Here is a 21,100-nt window from a genome sequence, read left to right on the forward strand (position 1 = left end):
TATTTATTATACTCTACCATAAAGTAAGTTTCAAAATGGCTTTGACTATTTCATTCACTGCTGGGTATACCTAGTACTAACCAATAAATATTTGCCACATTAATGAATGATAAACTACACTATAAATGTTGTAATAAATTACAAGGAGAAATTTATTATTTTAAAGAGTCCTTATCACTTTTTAATTTTCCATTAGAGAGATAATTTAATAAGTATTTGCTTAGCATAGTCTGAGCTAGAAAGATTGCCTGATTTTTCTTAGAAAGTTATTTATGATATTTTTCTGTCTCTAAAGGATCACTTCCATGACACCTCTCAGTTACATACATTTAAGATGTGCAAGCAGCCACTGAACTGGGAGAGAGATAGGACAAAATATTTTCTGTTAATAAAAATGTTACCACTCTAGGTCAAAAAAGAAACCTGGAGAGAAATTTAAATTTTTTTTAATTAAAAAAAAGAAAAAAATTCTTATCAAGGTTTGTGGAATGCAGTAAAATCAGTGTCAAGAGAAAAAAATATGGTGTTCATGCATATAATAGAAAAGACGAAAGATCCATAATTAATCATCTAAGATACTACCTTAGGAAAATAGAAAATAAGAGTAAATTAAATCCAAAGTAAACACAAGAAAGGAAAAGATAAAAATTAGAGTAGAAATAAATAAATTTAAAAACATAAATTCAGTAGGAAAAAATCAGTAAAACCACAAACTGCTTCTTTGAAAAGATCAATAAAATTGATATACCTCTAGCCAGGTTAACTATGAATAAAAGAGATAGGACAGACATTAATATCAGAAATAAAATAGGAAACATTATTATAGATCCCATAGACATTAAAAGGATAATCAAGGAACACTATTAACATCTCTATCTGCACAAATTCAATAATTAGGTCAATGAGACAAATGCTTTGAAAGACACAAAATCTGCCAAAATTCACACAAGAAGAAATAAACTATTTGAAGGTCCATGTCTTTTTAAAAATTGAATCTATAACTAATACTTTTCCAAAACAGAATGCATCAGGCCTAGATGGGTTCACTGGTGAATTCTACCAAATATTTATTGAAGAAATTATACCAATTTCTATAATGTCCTTTAGAAGATAGAAATAGAGAAAACACTTCCAAACTCATTTTATGAGGCCAAAATTACTCTAATATCAAAACCAGACAAAGGCATTATAAGAAAAACACAGATCAATATCTCTTATGAACACAGATCAAAAATCTTAAACAAAATATTAGCAACTCAAATTCAACAATATGTGAAAAGAATTATACAGCTCTACTGTGTGGTATTTATACCAGGTATGCAAGGCTCGGTCAACATTCAGAAACCAACTAATGTAAGCCCTAACATCAGAAGGCTAAGGAAGAAAAACCACAGGCTCATATAAATAAATGAAGAAAAGCATTTGACAAAATAACAACATTTATGATAAAAACTCTCAGTTAACTTAGAATAAAGGTGACCATCCTCAACTTGATAAAAATTATCTGCAAAAAAACCTACAGCTAACATGGTACTGAATGTGAGAAACTCAACGTTTTTCACCTAAGATGGCAAGGATATCTCCACTCACCACTGCTTTTTCACATCTTACTTTAATTCTTAGCTAGCTAATGCAATAAGATGAGAAAAAGAGGTATACATATCTGAAAGGAAGAAATTAAACTGTCTTTGTTCTCAGATAACATGATCATCTATGTAGAAAATCTAAAAGGATGGACAAAGAAACTCCTAGAACTAATGAGCAACTATAGGAATGTTGCAGGACACAAGGTTCATGTATATAATTCAATGGCTTTTCTATATACAAGCAATGCACAAGTGGAATTTTAAATTAAAAAAGCAATGCTGTTTAAATTAGCACCACAAAAATGAAACACTTAGGTATAAACTTAACAAAATATGTACAAGATATATACTACAGGCGTGGGAGGAGCCAAGATGGCCAAATAGGAACAGCTCCGGTCTACAGCTCCCAGCGTGAGCGACGCAGAAGACGGGTGATTTCTGCATTTCCATCTGAGGTACCGCGTTCATCTCACTAGGGAGTGACAGACAGTGGGCGCAGGCCAGTGGGTGCGTGCACCGTGCGCGAGCCGAAGCAGGGCGAGGCATTGCCTCACCTGGGAAATGCAAGGGGTCAGGGAGTTCCCTTTCCAAGTCAAAGAAAGGGGTGACGGAGGCACCTGGAAAATCAGGTCACTCCCACCCGAATACTGCGTTTTTCAGACCAGCTTAAAAAATGGCGCACCACAAGACTATATCCCACACCTGGCTCGGAGGGTCCTACACCCACGGAATCTCGCTGATTCTAGCACAGCAGTCTGAGATCAAACTGCAAGGCGGCAGCGAGGCTGGGGGAGGGGCGCCCGCCATTGCCCAGGCTTGCTTAGGTAAACAAAGCAGCCAGGAAGCTCGAACTGGGTGGAGCCCATGACAGTTCAAGGAGGCCTGCCTGCCACTGTAGGCTGCACCTCTGGGGGCAGGGCACAGGCAAACAAAAAGACAGCAGTAACCTTTGCAGACTTAAATGTCCCTGTCTGACAGCTTTGAAGAGAGCAGTGGTTCTCCCAGCATGCAGCTGGAGATCTGAGAACCAGCAGACTGCCTCCTCAAGTGGGTCCCTGACCCCTGACCCCCGAGCAGCCTAACTGGGAGGCACCCCCCAGTAGGGGCACACTGACACTTCACAAGGCAGGGTATTCCAAAAGACCTGCAGCTGAGGGTCCTGTCTGTTAGAAGGAAAACTAACAAACAGAAAGGACATCCACACCGAAAACCCATCTGTACATCACCATCATCAAAGACCAAAAGTAGATAAAACCACAAAGATGGGGAAAAAACAGAACAGAAAAACTGGAAACTCTAAAACACAGAGTGCCTCTCCTCCTCCAAAGGAACGCAGTTCCTCACCAGCAACGGAACAAAGCTGGATGGAGAATGACTTTGACGAGCAGAGAGAAGAAGGCTTCAGACGATCAAATTACTCTGAGCTACGGGAGGACATTCAAACCAAAGGCAAAGAAGTTGAAAACTTTGAAAAAAATTTAAAAGAATGTATAACTAGAATAACCAATACAGAGAAGTGCTTAAAGGAGCTGATGGAGCTGAAAACCAAGGCTCGAGAACTATGTGAAGAATGCAGAAGCCTCAGGAGCCAATGCGATCAACTGGAAGAAAGGGTATCAGCAATGGAAGATGAAATGAATGAAATGAAGGGAGAAGGGAAGTTTAGAGAAAAAAGAATAAAAAGAAATGAGCAAAGCCTCCAAGAAATATGGGACTATGTGAAAAGACCAAATCTACGTCTGACTGGTGTACCTGAAAGTGATGGGGAGAATGGAACCAAGTTGGAAAACACTCTGCAGGATATTATCCAGGAGAACTTCCCCAATCTAGCAAGGCAGGCCAATGTTCAGATTCAGGAAATACAGAGAACGCCACAAAGATACTCCTCGAGAAGAGCAACTCCAAGACACATAATTGTCAGATTCACCAAAGTTGAAATGAAGGAAAAAATGTTAAGGGCAGCCAGAGAGAAAGGTTGGGTTACCCTCAAAGGGAAGCCCATCAGACTAACAGCAGATCTCTCGGCAGAAACCCTACAAGCCAGAAGAGAGTGGGGGCCAATATTCAACATTCTTAAAGAAAAGAATTTTCAACCCAGAATTTCATATCCAGCCAAACTAAGCTTCATAAGTGAAGGAGAAATAAAATACTTTACAGACAAGCAAATGCTGAGAGATTTTGTCACCACCAGGCCTGCCCTAAAAGAGCTCCTGAAGGAAGCGCTAAACATGGAAAGGAACAACCGGTACCAGCTGCTGCAAAATCATGCCAAAATGTAAAGACCATCGAGACTAGGAAGAAACTGCATCAACTAACGAGCAAAATCACCAGCTAACATCATAATGACAGGATCAAATTCACATATAACAATATTAACTTTAAATGTAAATGGACTAAATTCTCCAATTAAAAGACACAGACTGGCAAATTGGATAAAGAGTCAAGACCCATCAGTGTGCTGTATTCAGGAAACCCATCTCACGTGCAGAGACACACATAGGCTCAAAATAAAGGGATGGAGGAAGATCTACCAAGCAAATGGAAAACAAAAAAAGGCAGGGGTTGCAATCCTAGTCTCTGATAAAACAGACTTTAAACCAACAAAGATCAAAAGAGACAAAGAAGGCCATTACATAATGGTAAAGGGATCAATTCAACAAGAAGAGCTAACTATCCTAAATATATATGCACCCAATACAGGAGCACCCAGATTCATAAAGCAAGTCCTGAGTGACCTACAAAGAGACTTAGACTCCCACACAATAATAATGGGAGACTTTAACACCCCACTGTCAACATTAGACAGATCAACGAGACAGAAAGTCAACAAGGATACCCAGGAATTGAACTCAGCTCTGCACCAAGTGGACCTAATAGACATCTACAGAACTCTCCACCCCAAATCAACAGAATATACATTTTTTTCAGCACCACACCACACCTATTCCAAAATTGACCACATACTGGGAAGTAAAGCTCTCCTCAGCAAATGTAAAAGAACAGAAATTATAACAAACTCTCTCTCAGACCACAGTGCAATCAAACTAGAACTCAGGATTAAGAATCTCACTCAAAGCCGCTCAACTACATGGAAACTGAACAACCTGCTCCTGAATGACTACTGGGTAGATAACGAAATGAAGGCAGAAATAAAGATGTTCTTTGAAACCAATGAGAACAAAGACACGACATACCAGAATCTCTGGGACGCATTCAAAGCAGTGTGTAGAGGGAAATTTATAGCACTAAATGCCCACAAGAGAAAGCAGGAAAGATCCAAAATTGACACCCTAACACAATTAAAAGAACTAGAAAAGCAAGAGCAAATACATTCAAAAGCTAGCAGAAGGCAAGAAATAACTAAAATCAGAGCAGAACTGAAGGAAATAGAGACACAAAAAACCATTCAAAAAATCAATGAATCCAGGAGCTGGTTTTTTGAAAGGCTCAACAAAATTGATAGACCGCTAGCAAGACTAAGAAAGAAAAAAAGAGAGAAGAATCAAATAGACACAATAAAAAATGATGAAGGGGATATCACCACCGATCCCACAGAAATACAAACTACCATCAGAGAATATTACAAACACCTCTATGCAAATAAACTAGAAAATCTAGAAGAAATGGATAAATTCCTGGACACATACACTCTCCCAAGACTAAACCAGGAAGAAGTTGAATCTCTGAATAGACCAATAACAGGAGCTGAAATTCTGGCAATAATCAATAGTTTACCAACCAAAAAGAGTCCAGGACCAGATGGATTCACAGCCAAATTCTACCAGAGGTACAAGGAGGAACTGGTACCATTCCTTCTGAAACTATTCCAATCAATAGAAAAAGAGGGAATCCTCCCTAACTCATTTTATAAGGCCAGCATCATTCTGATACCAAAGCCAGGCAGAGACACAACCAAAAAAGAGAATTTTAGACCAATATCCTTGATGAACATTGATGCAAAAATCCTCAATAAAATACTGGCAAACCAAATCCAGCAGCACATCAAAAAGCTTATCCACCATGAACAAGTGGGCTTCATCCCTGGGATGCAAGGCTGGTTCAATATACACAAATCAATAAATGTAATCCAGCATATAAACAGAGCCAAAGACAAAAACCACATGATTATCTCAATAGATGCAGAAAAAGCCTTTGACAAAATTCAGCAACCCTTCATGCTAAAAACTCTCAATAAATTAGGTATTGATGGGACGTATTTCAAAATGATAAGAGCTATCTATGACAAACCCATAGCCAATATCATACTGAATGGGCAAAAACTGGAAGCATTCCCTTTGAAAACTGGCACAAGACAGGGATGCCCTCTCTCACCACTCCTATTCAACATAGTGTTGGAAGTTCTGGCCAGGGCAATTAGGCAGGAGAAGGAAATAAAGGGTATTCAATTAGGAAAAGAGGAAGTCAAATTGTCCCTGTTTGCAGACGACATGATTTTATATCTAGAAAACCCCTTTGTCTCAGCCTGAAATCTCCTTAAGCTGATAAGCAACTTCAGCAAAGTCTCAGGATACAAAATCAATGTACAAAAATCACAAGCATTCTTATACACCAACAACAGACAAACAGAGAGCCAAATCATGAGTGAACTCCCATTCACAATTGCTTCAAAGAGAATAAAATACCTAGGAATCCAACTTACAAGGGATGTGAAGGACCTCTTCAAGGAGAACTACAAACCGCTGCTCAAAGAAATAAAAGAGGATACAAACAAATGGAAGAACATTCCATGCTCATGGGTAGGAAAAATCAATATCGTGAAAATGGCCATACTGCCCAAGGTAATTTACAGATTCAATGCCATCCCCATCAAGCTACCAATGACTTTCTTCACAGAATTGGAAAAAAGTTCATATGGAACCAAAAAAGAGCCTGCATCGCCAAGTCAATCCTAAGCCAAAAGAACAAAGCTGGAGGCATCACACTACCTGACTTCAAACTATACTACAAGGCTACAGTAACCAAAACAGCATGGACTGGTACCAAAACAGAGATATAGATCAATGGAACAGAACAGAGCCCTCAGAAATAACGCCGCATACCTACAACTATCTGATCTCTGACAAACCTGAGAAAAACAAGCAATGGGGAAAGGATTCCCTATTTAATAAATGGTGCTGGGAAAACTGGCTAGCCATATGTAGAAAGCTGAAACTGGATCCCTTCCTTACACCTTATACAAAAATCAATTCAAGATGGATTAAAGATTTAAACGTTAGACCTAAAACCATAAAAACCCTAGAAGAAAACCTAGGCATTACCATTCAGGACATAGGCATGGGCAAGGACTTCATGTCTAAAACACCAAAAGCAATGGCAACAAAAGACAAAATTGACAAATGGGATCTAATTAAAATAAAGAGCTTCTGCACAGCAAAAGAAACTACCATCAGAGTGAACAGGCAACCTACAAAATGGGAGAAAATTTTCACAACCTACTCATCTGACAAAGGGCTAATATCCAGAATCTACAATGAACTCAAACAAATTTACAAGAAAAAAACAAACAACCCCATCAAAAAGTGGGCGAAGGACATGAACAGACACTTCTCAAAAGAAGACATTTATGCAGCCAAAAAACACATGAAAAAATGCTCATCATCACTGGCCATCAGAGAAATGCAAATCAAAACCAGTATGAGATACCATCTCACACCAGTTAGAATGGCAATCATTAAAAAGTCAGGAAACAACAGGTGCTGGAGAGGATGTGGAGAAACAGGAACACTTTTACACTGTTGGTGGGACTGTAAACTAGTTCAACCATTGTGGAAGTCAGTGTGGCGATTCCTCAGGGATCTAGAACTAGAAATACCATTTGACCCAGCCATCCCATTACTGGGTATATACCCAAATGACTATAAATCATGCTGCTATAAAGACACATGCACACGTATGTTTATTGCGGCATTATTCACAATAGCAAAGACTTGGAACCAACCCAAATGTCCAACAATGATAGACTGGATTAAGAAAATGGGGCACATATACACCATGGAATACTATGCAGCCATAAAAAATGATGAGTTCACGTCCTTTGTAGGGACATGGATGAAATTGGAAATCATCATTCTCAGTAAAGTATCGCAAGAACAAAAAACCAAACACCGCATATTCTCACTCATTGGTGGGAATTGAACAATGAGGTAACATGGACACAGGAAGGGGAATATCACACTCTGGGGACTGTGGTGGGGTGGGGGGAGGGGGGAGGGATAGCATTGGGAGATATACCTAATGCTAGATGACGAGTTAGTGGGTGCAGCACACCAGCACGGCACATGTATACATATGTAACTAACCTGCACAATGTGCACATGTACCCTAAAACTTAAAGTATAATAATAAATAAATAAATAAATAAATAAACTACAGGCTCTGATGAAATAAAGAAGAACTGAATAAATGGATATTCCTTATTCATAGACAGGAAGACTCAATATTGACAAGATGTTAGTTATCAGTTTGATCTGTAGATTCAATGCAATCTTAATCAAAATGCTAGTGAGTTATTTGTGAATTAGGAAAACTAATTCTAAAATTTATATGTGAAGGCAAAAGACACAGAATGGCTAACACAACATTGAAGAAGAATACCAAGGGAAGAGGACTGATGCTATCCACCTTGAAGACTCACTATAAAGCTACACTAATCAGTGGGCTATTGGAGAAAGGATAGACCAAAAGATTAATGAAACAGAATAGAAACACCAGAAATAGATCCACATGAATATAGTTAACCAATCTTTGACAAAAAAGCAAAGGCAATACAATAAAGACAAGGAAGACTTTTCAACAACTGGTGCTGGAACATCTGGACATCCATATGCAAGGAAAATAAATCTCAATGCAGACCTTAGACCCTTCACAAAAATTAACCCAAGCTGGATCACAAATCTAAATGTAATATGCAAAGCCATAAAATTCCTGGAAGAAAAATCTAGAACTCGTGTTTGTATTTGGTGATGACTTTTCAAAACATACCGAAGTACAATATATATAAAAAAAATTAAAACTGGACTTCATTAAAATTACAAAATTCTGCTCTGTGAAAGACTCTGTCAAGAGAATGTAAAGACAAGCCACAGAGTAGGAGAAAATATTCGCAAGATATTTGATAAAAGATTGTTATTCAAAATATACAAATAATTATTAAAATTCAACAATAAAACAACCTGATTACAAAATGAGCCAAAGACTTTAACAGACATTTCACCAAGAAGATATACAGATGACAAATAAGCATCTTAAAAGATGTTCCACATCTCATGTTATCAAAGAAATGCAAATTAAAATAAAACAACGAGATGTGACTATTGGGACGCAATAAAAATATATACTTTTTCTCTGCTTCAGGCTTCTAAAACTCTCATAATTTCCTGAGTGACAGCATAAGAGAGGCATCATTTCTTATTTATAATAAGCCCCTTTTAGTCATACCTAAGTTTATTCTAGTAAGTCTACTCTTGGAGCATAGGAGCTGGTTGTGGGAAGAACCAACCACAAGACAAGAGGGTTGAAAGTTTCAGCACCATCCACCTCTGGAAAGGGGTAAGCAGTTGGACATTGAGTTAAACTGACAATGGCCAAGAATTGAATCAATTATGCCTATATAATGAAGCATCCATTAAAATCCCAAACAAATGAGTTAAAATAGTTTCCGCATTGGTGACTGCACGGAAGTACTGGGACAGTGCCACGCCTGGACACAGCATGAGAGCTCCATGCCCCTTCATCATACCTTGTCCTATGGACCTCTTCATCTGACTGTACGTATGTACCCTTTATGATATTCTTTATAATAAACCAGTTAATGCAAGTAAAGTGTTTCCTTGGATTTTATGAGCTGTTATAGAAAATCATCAAATTTGAGGAGAAAGTTTTAGGGAACCCAACAGTAACCAAGTCAGACAGAAATGTGGGTAACCCAGGACTAACTACTTGCAATTGGAATCTGAAGTTGGAGGTGGTTCTGTGGGACTGAGCCCTTATCCTATTGTTAGTGCTAGAATTGAATTAAACTGTAGGATACTGAGTTGGTGTTCACAGATAATATGTAAATTGCAATGTGTGTAAAATCTACATATTTGATTACGGAAGTGTTGTAAGTACAGAACACCACTACAACAAATGTTGGCAAGGATGTGAAGCAACAGGAACTCTCATTCACTGCTGATGAGAATGCAAAGTGGTACAGCTACTTTGAAGGACAGTTTATGGTTCTTACAAGACTAAACATTCTCATGCCATACTATCCAACAATCATTTTCCTTGGTATCTACGTAAAGGAGTGGACAACTTATGTCTACACAGAAACCTGTAGAGGTATGTTTATAGAAGCTTTATTCATAGTTGCCCAAACTTGGAAGCAACCAAGATGCCCCTCCATAGGTTAGTGGGTAAATAAACTTTGGTACATCCAGGAAATTAAATATTATTCAGTGCAAAAAGAAATGAGCTATCAAACTATGCACAGAAAATGGAGAAACTTAACTGCATTTTACTAAGTGAAAGAAGCCAATGTGAAAAGGCTGCATACTGTGTGATTGCAATTATATGACATTTGGGAAAAGGCAAAACTATGGAGACAGTAAAAAGATCAGTTCTTTTCAGAGTTGGGCTGGGAGGGAGGGATGATGCATGGAATACAGAGAATTTCAGGTCAGTGAAACTACTAATATACTAAGGTGTAGTATTAATGTATAGTATCATATACTAATATGGTAGACATGCATCAATATATAATACATTTGTCCAAACCCATAGAATGTACAACACCAAGAGTAAACCCTAATATAAACTATGCACTCTGGGTGATAATGATGTATTAATGTGGGTTCATCATTTGTAACAAATGTACCACTCTAACTGGGGATGCTGATAATTGATGAGGCTATGCATGAGCCAGGGGGCAGGTGGTATACAGGGATTCTCTGTACCTTCTGCTCAATTTTGCTGTGAACCTAATACTTATCTTTTAAAAAGTCTATTTTAAAAAAGTTACTGCTCTTGCACATCCTGCACATGTACCCTGGAATTTAAAATTAAAAATAATGAACATAATAATAAAAAGAAGTTACTGCTCTTCATACTACCTCATCTTCCAAAAAGAGTTAAAAATATCTGCCTAGGAGCTGTGAACCCAAAAGTATCTGAGATATCTCAATCAATTTAGAAAGTTTATTTTGCCAATGTTACAGACACAAACAATTTTCCAATGTTACGGACACAAATGTCCAATGTTACCTGTGACACAAACTCAGGAGGTCCTGATGACATGTGCCCAAGGTTCTTTGGGGACAGCTTGGTTTTATACATTTTATGGAGACATGAAACATCAATCAATATATGTAAGATGTACATTGGTTTGGTCAGGAAAGGTGGGACAACTTGAAGTGGGGAGGGGGCTTCCAGGTCATAGGTAGATAAGAGACAAAAGGTCGCATTCTTTTAAGTTTCTAGTTAGCCTTTCACTGAATACACAATTTACATGTGAGAGGAGAATAAAGGAATAGTCACTTATGCTTTAGTCTGGCTTAGTGAAATAATAGGGCAGAGGAAGCAATCAGATATGCAGTTGTCTCAGGTGAACAGAGGAATGACTTGGAATTCTGTCTGTCCTTTGCCCATAAGGAATTTCCTTGTGGGCAAATTGTGAGGGAGGTATGTAGTATATATATATATATGTATATAAATCTTTGTAACCATCTCTTTTTTTTTTTTTTTGAGGTGGAGTCTCGCTTAGTCGCCCAGGCTAGAGTGCAGTGGCATGATCTTGGCTTACTGCATCCTCCACCTCCCGGGTTCACGTGATTCTCCTGCCTCAGCCTCCTGAGTAGCTGGGACTACAGGCACATGCCACCACGCCTGGCTAATTTTTCTATTTTTAGTAGAGATAGGTTTTCACCATATTGGCCAGGATATCTCGATCTCCTGACCTGATCCACCTGCCTTGGCCTCCTAAAGTGCTGGGACTACAGGCATGAGCCACCACACCTGGCAGCTGTCTTATTTAAAAATAAAATGGGAGGCAGGTTTACCTGACGCAGTTCCTAGCTTGAATTTTCCCTTTGGCTTTGTGATTTTGGGGTCCTTTATTTTCTTTTCACAGAGCTTACTGGGAGAAATGAGTTGGAGTTAAACAACTTCCTTAATTAGATTTGACATTATTAGAAACTCTCTGATGGGTGGGCTGATCAGGAATAAAGTCCTGGAGCTTTGAAATGAAAATTTATCTTGGATATAATTGGAATCAAGTAGGACCAAACTTCACACCAAAGCAGTTGTATGTGAGTAGGTTAAGTGGATGAAAAGAAGGGAAGTAGGACTGAGTCTTGTATTGCTTGTGACTGAATTTTTGACCTCCTTTTGGCCTCGTTCCAGTCAAATAGTGAGTGATATTTCAATTTCAAAGTAAACTAAAGACCTTTTAACTTAGGGGAACATTTAGATAGCCATTCTTGGTTAAATTAAAGACAGAAATTTTACAACCTGCATACAGCCTCAGGCCAACAATTCCAAAAACTTAGTAGTGGGGAGGGATGCACTGAATTGTTTGAAATAATTTTTCACAGCAAAGCTCCTGTGAGAAAAGAAATAGCAACTAAAAATGCTTTGTTCTCCAGTTCTGTCTTTGCCATGAATTTGTAAAGAGGATTAGATGCTTTGGATTTTTATAATAATAAAAATGGGATGAGGAGTTCACAGAGAAAGCAACTGGATGTTCTGTTCATATGAGCAGGGGAAGGCCCACAATTTCATGTAAGTATTAAAAAGAGAGGTGACTTAATTATTCCCAAGGCTAGTGAGTGGAAGCCTACCAGTAATACTGGAGTAGTCTACATTTGTGTGTATGCTTCTGTTACCAGAAACAGGTCATGATCCAGACCCCAGGAGAGGGTTCTTGGTTCTTGCCCAAGAAATAATTCGGGGTGAGTTCATAAAGTGAAAGCAAGTTTATTAAGAAAGTAAAGGAAGAAAAGAATGGCTACTCTATAGGCAGAGCAGCCCTAAGACTGTTGGTTGCCCATTTTTATGGTTATTTCTTGATTATAGGCTAAACAAGAGATGGATTATTCATGAGTTTTCCAGGAATGGAATGGGCTATTTCCAGAACTGAGGGTTCTTCTCCTTTTCAGACCACATAGGGTAACTTCCTGATGTTGCCATGGCATTTGTAAACTCTCATAGCGCTGGTGGAAGTGTCTTTTAACATGCTAATGCAGTATCATTAGTGTATTAAGAGCAGTGAGGGTGATCAGAGGTCCCTCTCACCATCTTGGTTTTGGTGGATTTTGGCTGGCTTCTTTACTGCAACCTGCTTTATCAGCAAGATCTTGATGACCTGTATATTTTGCCGACCTCCTATCTCATCCTGTGACTTAGAATGTCTAACCTCCTGGGAATGCAGCCCAGTAGGTCTCCAATTTATTTTACCCAGCCTCTATACAAGATGGAGTTGCTCTGGTTTAAATGCCTCTGATGCTTCCTCTTTATTTAAAGACATAAATCTAAATAATTATTAAATTTCTCAATATAAAGTGGAAAAATGGAAGTTATTTCAGAGATTTATTTGTATAACACATTAGCAGACTACTTGGAAACATATATCAGCATTTAGCCTTTGATGGCTAAAATTTTACCCCACCTTTGATTTTATTTTGGAGATTTTTACTTGGAAACATGGTTTAGAAGCCATGAAAACTGTGGATTTTTCTTTGTTACTCTCTCTGAACTTTAGTTACTATCCCAGAACTGCCAAGAGATTGTATAACCTTATGTTTATGAAAGTGTTCAAAAGCAATGTTTCATTTTGAGCAGAGTATTTTCCATAACACTTTGTGTAAGAAAAGTGATGGCTAGGGTATTGAAATGAAAACAAGGGCCGGGTGCGGTGGCTCACGCCTGTAATTCCAAAACTTTGGGAGGCTGAGGCGGGCGAATTACTTGAGGTCAGGAGTTTGAGACCAGCCTGGCCAACATGGTGCAACCCTGTCTCTACTAAAAATACAAAAATTAGCCGGCCATGGTGGCACATGCCTGTAATCCCAGCTACTGGGGAGGCTGAGGCAGGAGAATCACTTGAATTTGGGAGGTGGAGTTTGCAGTGAGCCAAAATCATGCCATTACACTCCAGCCTGGGCAAAGAAGCAAGACTCCTTCTCAAAAAAAACAGAAAAACAAAATAAAACAAAAAAAACCCAAGAAAGTTCAAAACTAAAATGTTATTTTTTTAATCTTCTCTATCTTTTTCTCTCTTTCTTTCTTTTTTTTTTTTCACCTGAATGACAATCTTGGGTGGTGGAGTCGGGGGGGTTTGTCAGTGGAATGTCATCCATAGGGTGATGGGTTGTCAATATCTTAACTCGTATTTTCTTAAATATTTTTATTCATTTTATTTTCTTATTTGTCTACTCTTATCAGAATTTTCTAATTGTAGATATTTGAGGAACAAGTATCAAATGTATATGAAAAATGGAAAGTCAAAAAAATACTAGACACACTTTCAACCAGTTATCCACCCACCTTATATTACTTACAGTGCAGAACGCTCAATTATAAATGCAACTCTTCAATTCCACAGCACAGAAAATGAGACTATGTATATCATTACCAGCCCCAGTAGAGATAATAAGGGCATATGCACAGCTACAACTATCCATTGAGATAATGAGATTATAAATACTATACTCCTACTGCTTCTAGGTATAATGAGAAGCTACAGTTTTATGGTCATATTTCTGCAATCATCCTTGAAACCAGGAGACAGTGAATTTAGAGATAACCTAATGAGGAAAAGAAACAGATAACCATTTATCATAGTCTTTCCGAAATCAGCTCATGAAGTAAGGCACAAATGGAAACAAAGGAACTGAATACATTCATTTGTTAATTAATATCTGCTGTTCTTAGAGAATCATGAACAATGAGCAATTTATTAAAGAGGCAATAATCTGAAATACTCTATTACAGGGTTAATGATCATAAAAACAGGTCTCATAAAAGTAAGGGACAATCAAGAGCTTTCGGGAATTGCTCATTTAATATATTTCTATTCTCTTAAACAAAAAATAGTCTCTGACACATTATCAGTAAATCATGTTTTAGGCAATACTATTGATTTTCTGTAGCAAGAGGATATTTACATTCCTTATTTATGTCTACTTTCCTGGAAATATTTATTTGTGTTCACAAAAGTTATGTACAAAGAAAGAGCTCCAGGCTCAGTTTGAGGATACTGTAGAGGATTAATTGCCATGAAATACAAATTGAAAAAAATTTTAAATATACTTCTGCTCAGATTTGATACTTGAAATTAAATTCCCCAAAGTAAAATATCCTTGCATGTGAGAGAAGGTGATTCTCGTTTTAGGAAAATAGGAATACAATTTTCAACCCTAACTACATGTACTAAATTGCACATTTCTAACCTCTGATTATTTTGAGTTGTTGCTAGAATTTTTAAAGTAAAATCCATATTCTGAATGTTCCACAAAATTGTTTCTGCCTAATTTTGAATTTCATAATCCACCTCTCACCACCCTGTGTTTAAGATCCAGGCATACTGTTTCTTTACTATTTGTCCAACATGCCTATCTCTTTTTTGTACCTTTGCAATGGTTCATAAGCTCACAGCCTGAGAATACTCATTTACCTTCTTTAGGTAGCCAACCAAGAGAGCTTTGTTATTCTTAATCATCTTATTTATAACAGGGAGAACACCCTTTCTCCCTATCAAGTTAATCCAGGTTACTATCTCATGACATATTGTCCACTTTGTTCTCAGAAATTATAAACATCTGAAAATATGTTTTTTTCTCATTTAATATTTATCTCACTCACAGGAGCCTAAGAGACAGGAGGAAAGAAAACTTTTAAAAATTATGTATGGCTTTAAAATAGGAATAAAGACATCCCTGAGACATTATACGTATAGATAGATATCTATATCTAGGAATGGATAGAGAGATTAGTTACGAGCACTGATCTCTGAACTTTTATTCTCTTGCCCAAATTCCTAAGAGGTATGGGGACTCATTCCTTATAAACCATAAAATCTCATTATGTGTTTTTTTTAATTAATCCATATAAGGTGGCTTACTTTTGTTGACGACAAGAGTCAAACTCTGTAAAATATGTGAAGAGATTTATTCTGAGCCAAACGTAAGTGACCAGTGGATTGTGACGTTGCCCCAGGAGATCCTGAGAATATGTGCTCAAGGTGGTTGAGCTGTGGCTTAGATTTATACATTTTAGGGAGATATAAGACGTCGATCAATAAATGTACATTGGTTCAATCCAGAAATATGGGGAAACTGGGGCATGGGGTGGGGATGGTACTTCCAGGTCACAGGAAGATTCAAAGATTTTCTGAAGACCTAGAATCAATAGAAGGGAGTGTTTGGGTTAAGATAAGGGGTTATTAATACCAAGGTTCTTATTATGCAGATGAAGCCCCCAAGATGCATGCTTCAGAGAGAGTAGATTATAAATTTTTTTATCAGACTTAGTCTTAAGGTCTCTGTTTTGATGTTAATGGTGGTCAGCTGTGCCTGATTTCCAACAGGGAGAGTATAATAAGGCACTATAATAAGACACTCATTATAAAAGAGTCTAACTCTCATTTCCCATCATGGCCTGAACTAATCTTTTAGATTAACTTTGGAATGCCCTTTGTCCAAGTGGAAGGTCCAGCAGTTGGTTGCAGGGCTTAGAATTTTATTTTTGGTTTACACATTGCAACCTGTGTGTGGTAAAGCATCACATGACAAATAGCAGAATTGAAGGGAAATCAAAATATTTTAACTCAAAATATATTTTGAGATGGCTGCTACAGGGCCAGCAGACTGAAATAGCCATGCAAAGCCATCTTTTTGGGGGAAAATTTACATCTGTAGATAATCTCCATTAATGCATCCATGACTTCCCTTTCTAGACCTTTCCTGCATCCAGACGAGATTAACTGAGAGTAAGACACCTTTAAAGGTCTGAAAAGAGATACCTTTGATCTATTTTCTCTGAGGGCTGCTACCTGTGAGTCTTCATATACATAACAAGGCTACCTTTGCTAGCCAATCCTCTTTCTTTCTCCCTCCCTTAACCTGTCTTGCTACGAAAACCTATTTTTGCCCATACTCTAAGCCAGCATTCTTTCTATAACCTTAAGATGGTAAGCTTCTGAACTTCACTGGGAGGTGGGGTCTTCATTTCGAAGACTCTCATGTATATACTTTACACAAATTTGTATGCCTTTTCTCTTATTAATCAATCTGCCTCATATCAGTGATTTTTCAGGGAACCTCCAGAGGCTAAGGGCCTTGGCCCCCAAAGCCCCCTTATCTTAACTCAAGCATTTCTTTCTACTGACTTTAAGTCTTTAAATAATAGTTTCACTCTCAACCGTCAACTAAAGAATCCCTAAAACCCACCTATGACTTGTAAGCTCTCTTTTTCAAGATTCCCTGCCTTTTCAGGCCAAACCAATGTATATCATCCATGTATTAATTTATGATTTTATCTGCAATTCCTGTCTCCCTAAAATGTATAAAACCAAACTGTTACCCAATTGCCTCTGGCACACTTTCTCAGGACCTCTTGAGATTATATAACCCTGGGCTGTAGTCACTCATATTGGTTCAGAATAAACCTTTTAAAATATATTTTGGCAAAATTTGTGGTTTTTTCATCTTTAGATAGAAAGAAAAAATGACTATGTATAGGCGACCATAAAGACTTTAAAACAAAAAGATTAAGCATATGATTACCTTGTGTTGGGTATATATTTCTGAATATATACACACACATGCTTACTTACATATGTCTTAGCATTTGGTGTGTTCATTGCTATTAGGGTATCATTGCGTCTAGACTCATCAGAAAGAACTAGGAAATATATGTATGTATTCTAATTCATGAATACACAGACACCAATACTTATTTCTATGTTTATCTGTATATATAATTTAACAAAAACCTAAGTTTTTATTAATACTTCTAATTTCAATCTAACTCTACTGGATTCATCTTAGCCTTCCACATTTCCTTATTTGTAACGTTCTTCTCTGACAGTGAGGAACCTGGCTTTCTTTTTCCATAATATATTCACTTATTTGGCCAATCCCACTATATGTACAAATTTGCTCTCATAATTTTGTGCTCCCATAACAAGGATTATGGATTAGCTTTCACATTGCTAAATCATAACCATTGAAAACATAGTAGCTTTAATTAGAGAAACATTCATAATTCCAAAACCAAGTTATGAAAGAAGAGATTTGGTTTCCTTCAAACTCAGAATTTAGTGTTTAAAAGGCCTGGAGGAAGCCCATTGCTTATAGCTTTCCCATAGCTTGCTGCTAACTTCATGTTGAGGTTTCTTGATTCCTTGATAAACGTTTCTAATCTAAATCGTCACTTCATCTCTCTATCAAGCTTTGTGGGATAACACCTTGTTTTGTAATTTCATTGTACTTGGACATTTCTATAGCACTCAATTTCTTAACTTTGGTATCTGGTTCATTTCAAAGCAACTATTACTAAGAATTATTCCTGCTCCTTACTTAACATTTAAGCAATCAGTCCCAAACCAAATGAAATAAGTATCATAAGCCTTTTTAATATTTAGCTCTTTAATCTCCTTACTTCCACCATCCTTAGACTCATTCAAATAAATTTAGTTAAAATTCCTCTTTCCCTTGATGGCACAACTATCCCATGCCACCATCATTACTCAGGCTGAGACTTTAGAGACATTGTTGATTCTGCCTTTTACTTTGCTTTTAAATCCAGTTAATGGCTTCACATTTTAAATTTTAAGTTTTCTTCTCACCTATAACCTCTTTCACATTTTTATGCCCAGGAGAGGCTTTTGTAGTAATAAAACCCAGCAGCACATCCTGCATGGGAAATTTCAAATAGTTGCCCCTATAACCCTGATGTATTCTGCATACTGCTAAAAATAAACCTTACTAAAATATCTGATGATATATTTTCTAGGGCCAATTTGGTTACATTAGAAAGCCCTAAGTATAATGCATTAATCAAATATTCAAGTCTTATTATGCTGTGATTTCAGCCAGTATTTCTGGAGGTGATCCTTGCTCTTCTCTTTGACATGCAACACCCTCAAGTAGAAATAGGAAACTCTAAATTCCCTGAACCTTCCTTCTTGTTAATTTTCTTTATATTACTCCTTTTTATTTCAGAGGAAAAGTTATGGCTCTAAAATTATATATTACAAATTTAAAAAATTCCGAGTTTTAGTAATATTAAAAAACCAGAAAAAAGCAAATTAATCTCAAAGAAAGTCGAAGAAATTATAAAGATATAAAAAGAAACCAGTGAAGTAGGAAACTAATATATAATAGAAAAAGTCAACAAAGCTAAAAGTTGATCTATTAAAATGTTTCATAAAACTGACAGCACTCTGATAAAACTAATAAAATATATAATTTATATATCAATTAATTTATATATCATATATACAATTTCAGTAGACAAAAAGGCAATGACTCAATAGATCCTACAGATATTAAAAAGATAAATGGGTAATAAGCTATATTACAGATAATAAAATATATATACTCATTAATATCTGTATACACTCAGAGTAACACAAATTGACATAAAAATTTTGAGTAGGTTCATAGTTACTGAGGATGTTGAAACTCCCAAAAATTATCTCCTCAAAACAAGTAAAGCTCATATGATTTTACTAATGAATTTTGTTAAATAGTTTTAGGCAAAGCAAAAAACTATTTTAACACCAATTCTTCTTAAGAATAGAAAATGCAAAATGTATTGAGAATAACTAAAGAATAACTAAATAGTATCCTCTATTTACAAATTCAGTACTTTTACATTCAAATTTTCAGTAGGTTTTAGAATTGCAAATTGGTAAGTTGATTTTAGAATATATGGGGAAATAAAATGAACCAAAAAAAGCAAAATTTTTCATATTAGTTTTCAACTGCTGCACAAGTTACCACAGACTTGGTGTCTTAAAATAACATGTATTTATTATTTCACAGTTTCTTTAGATCAGAAGTCCAGTTTGGCTGAGATGCCTGCTTACAGGATCATGAGTCTGAAACCAGGGTGCCAGCCAGGCTGCATACTTATCTGCAGGACTGTCCAGAGAATAATCCATTTCCAAACTCAATCAGGTTATTAACAGAATTCAGTTCATTGTAGGTCCCTGTTTTCTTGCTGGCTCTTAGCTAGGGTGGCTCCTACATCCTAGAGGCTACTCTCATGTCCTAGCCATGCGGCCATATCACAACATGGCTTCTTACTTCCTAAGGCCAGCAAGTGAATCTTTCTCCAGTTTGCTATAGGATAGCCTTACACAATTTAATTTAATCAAAGGAGAAACAATCCCATCATTTACTCTATATAACATAAACTGATAAAAAGAGTAATTACCTCATCATATTCATAGGTCCTGCTTCCACTCAATGAGAGGGCACTATGGAGAATGTACATAACAGGGATTGGGAAACCAACCATCTTAGCATTCTGTCTGCTACAGTATTTCTTGAGAATAAGAATTAGGCTTCAGGGACCTACACTGCCAATCATAAAAGGTTATTATAGAGCTAATTAACAAAATGTATTAGTTGTTGAAGAATTGACAATTATAGTAACAAAAGAAAATTGAAGCATAGGAAAAAGACACAGACATCAAGAACTGCTATTTGGTTTAAAGATGACAATGTGGTGCAGTAAAGAGAAGATGACATTTTCAATATAGAATGCTGTTTCAATTGGATAATCACCTTGGAAAAATAATAAAAGCATAAACAAATCTTTACCTCCTACCTTACATCATATACAAAAATTAATTCCAATTGACTACATGTCTAAGTGTGAAAATTAAAACAATAATGTTTATGGAAGACAACATATGCAAATATTTTTAGAACCTTAGGTTAAGGAAAGATATTTTGTAGAGAAACGAAAGGCATTATTCATCAAGAAATTGATAAATTTGTCTACCTTAATCTTATAATTTATATTTCTCAAGAATACCATTAGAAAGTGAAAATACAATTCACAAATTAGGAGAAGATACACTTATCCACGCTATATCAAGGACTTCTAGAAATCATTAAGAAAACAGTTATCTCTATTTTAAAAATTGGGTAGTAGACTTTTGGGGTAAAAAAAAGAATATCTAAGCAGCTAATAAATGAAAATCTGTTTAAACGAATTATTAGTAACATGCTTAACCTAATTATTAGTACTCCATGATGTTATACTGGCATTCATCCAACAAAATAGCTAAAATTGAAAACAAAACAAATGAACAAAAAAACCCTGACAATTCCAAGTTTGGGGCAGTATATAGAGTAATTGGAAGTCTCATACATTGTCATTAGCAATGTAATTTGGTAAAATCACTTTGGAGAAGAGCACAATTGTGTCTAAAAAAGTCAGACAAATTTATAGCCTATGAATTTCCAGGAAATGTTAAGTCATTCAACTTCCTGGAAATT

At 36.6% G+C, this 21,100-nt stretch overlaps 2 long non-coding RNA genes across 3 annotated transcripts in view, besides 1 other annotated feature; one reads left to right on the top strand and one right to left on the bottom strand.

Annotated features, from left to right (window-relative positions):
* The window catches only part of LOC105370463 (uncharacterized), a 117,571-nt gene that overhangs the window by 93,256 nt on the left and 3,215 nt on the right, over nt 1-21,100 (bottom strand). The window lies entirely within an intron of this gene.
* The window catches only part of LOC105370462 (uncharacterized), a 72,153-nt gene that overhangs the window by 5,901 nt on the left and 45,152 nt on the right, over nt 1-21,100 (top strand). The window lies entirely within an intron of this gene.
* Nucleotides 2,205-2,797: an enhancer, noted in NCBI's record as "NANOG-H3K4me1 hESC enhancer chr14:40795671-40796263 (GRCh37/hg19 assembly coordinates)". NCBI's record gives its function as "activates a minimal SCP1, AML or CMV promoter by ChIP-STARR-seq in primed H9 embryonic stem cells {active_cell/tissue: H9 hESC(primed)}" and the evidence as "EXISTENCE:reporter gene assay evidence [ECO:0000049][PMID:30033119]".

Source organism: Homo sapiens, chromosome 14 (assembly GCF_000001405.40).
Source record: "Homo sapiens chromosome 14, GRCh38.p14 Primary Assembly".
Lineage (NCBI taxonomy): Eukaryota > Metazoa > Chordata > Mammalia > Primates > Hominidae > Homo > Homo sapiens.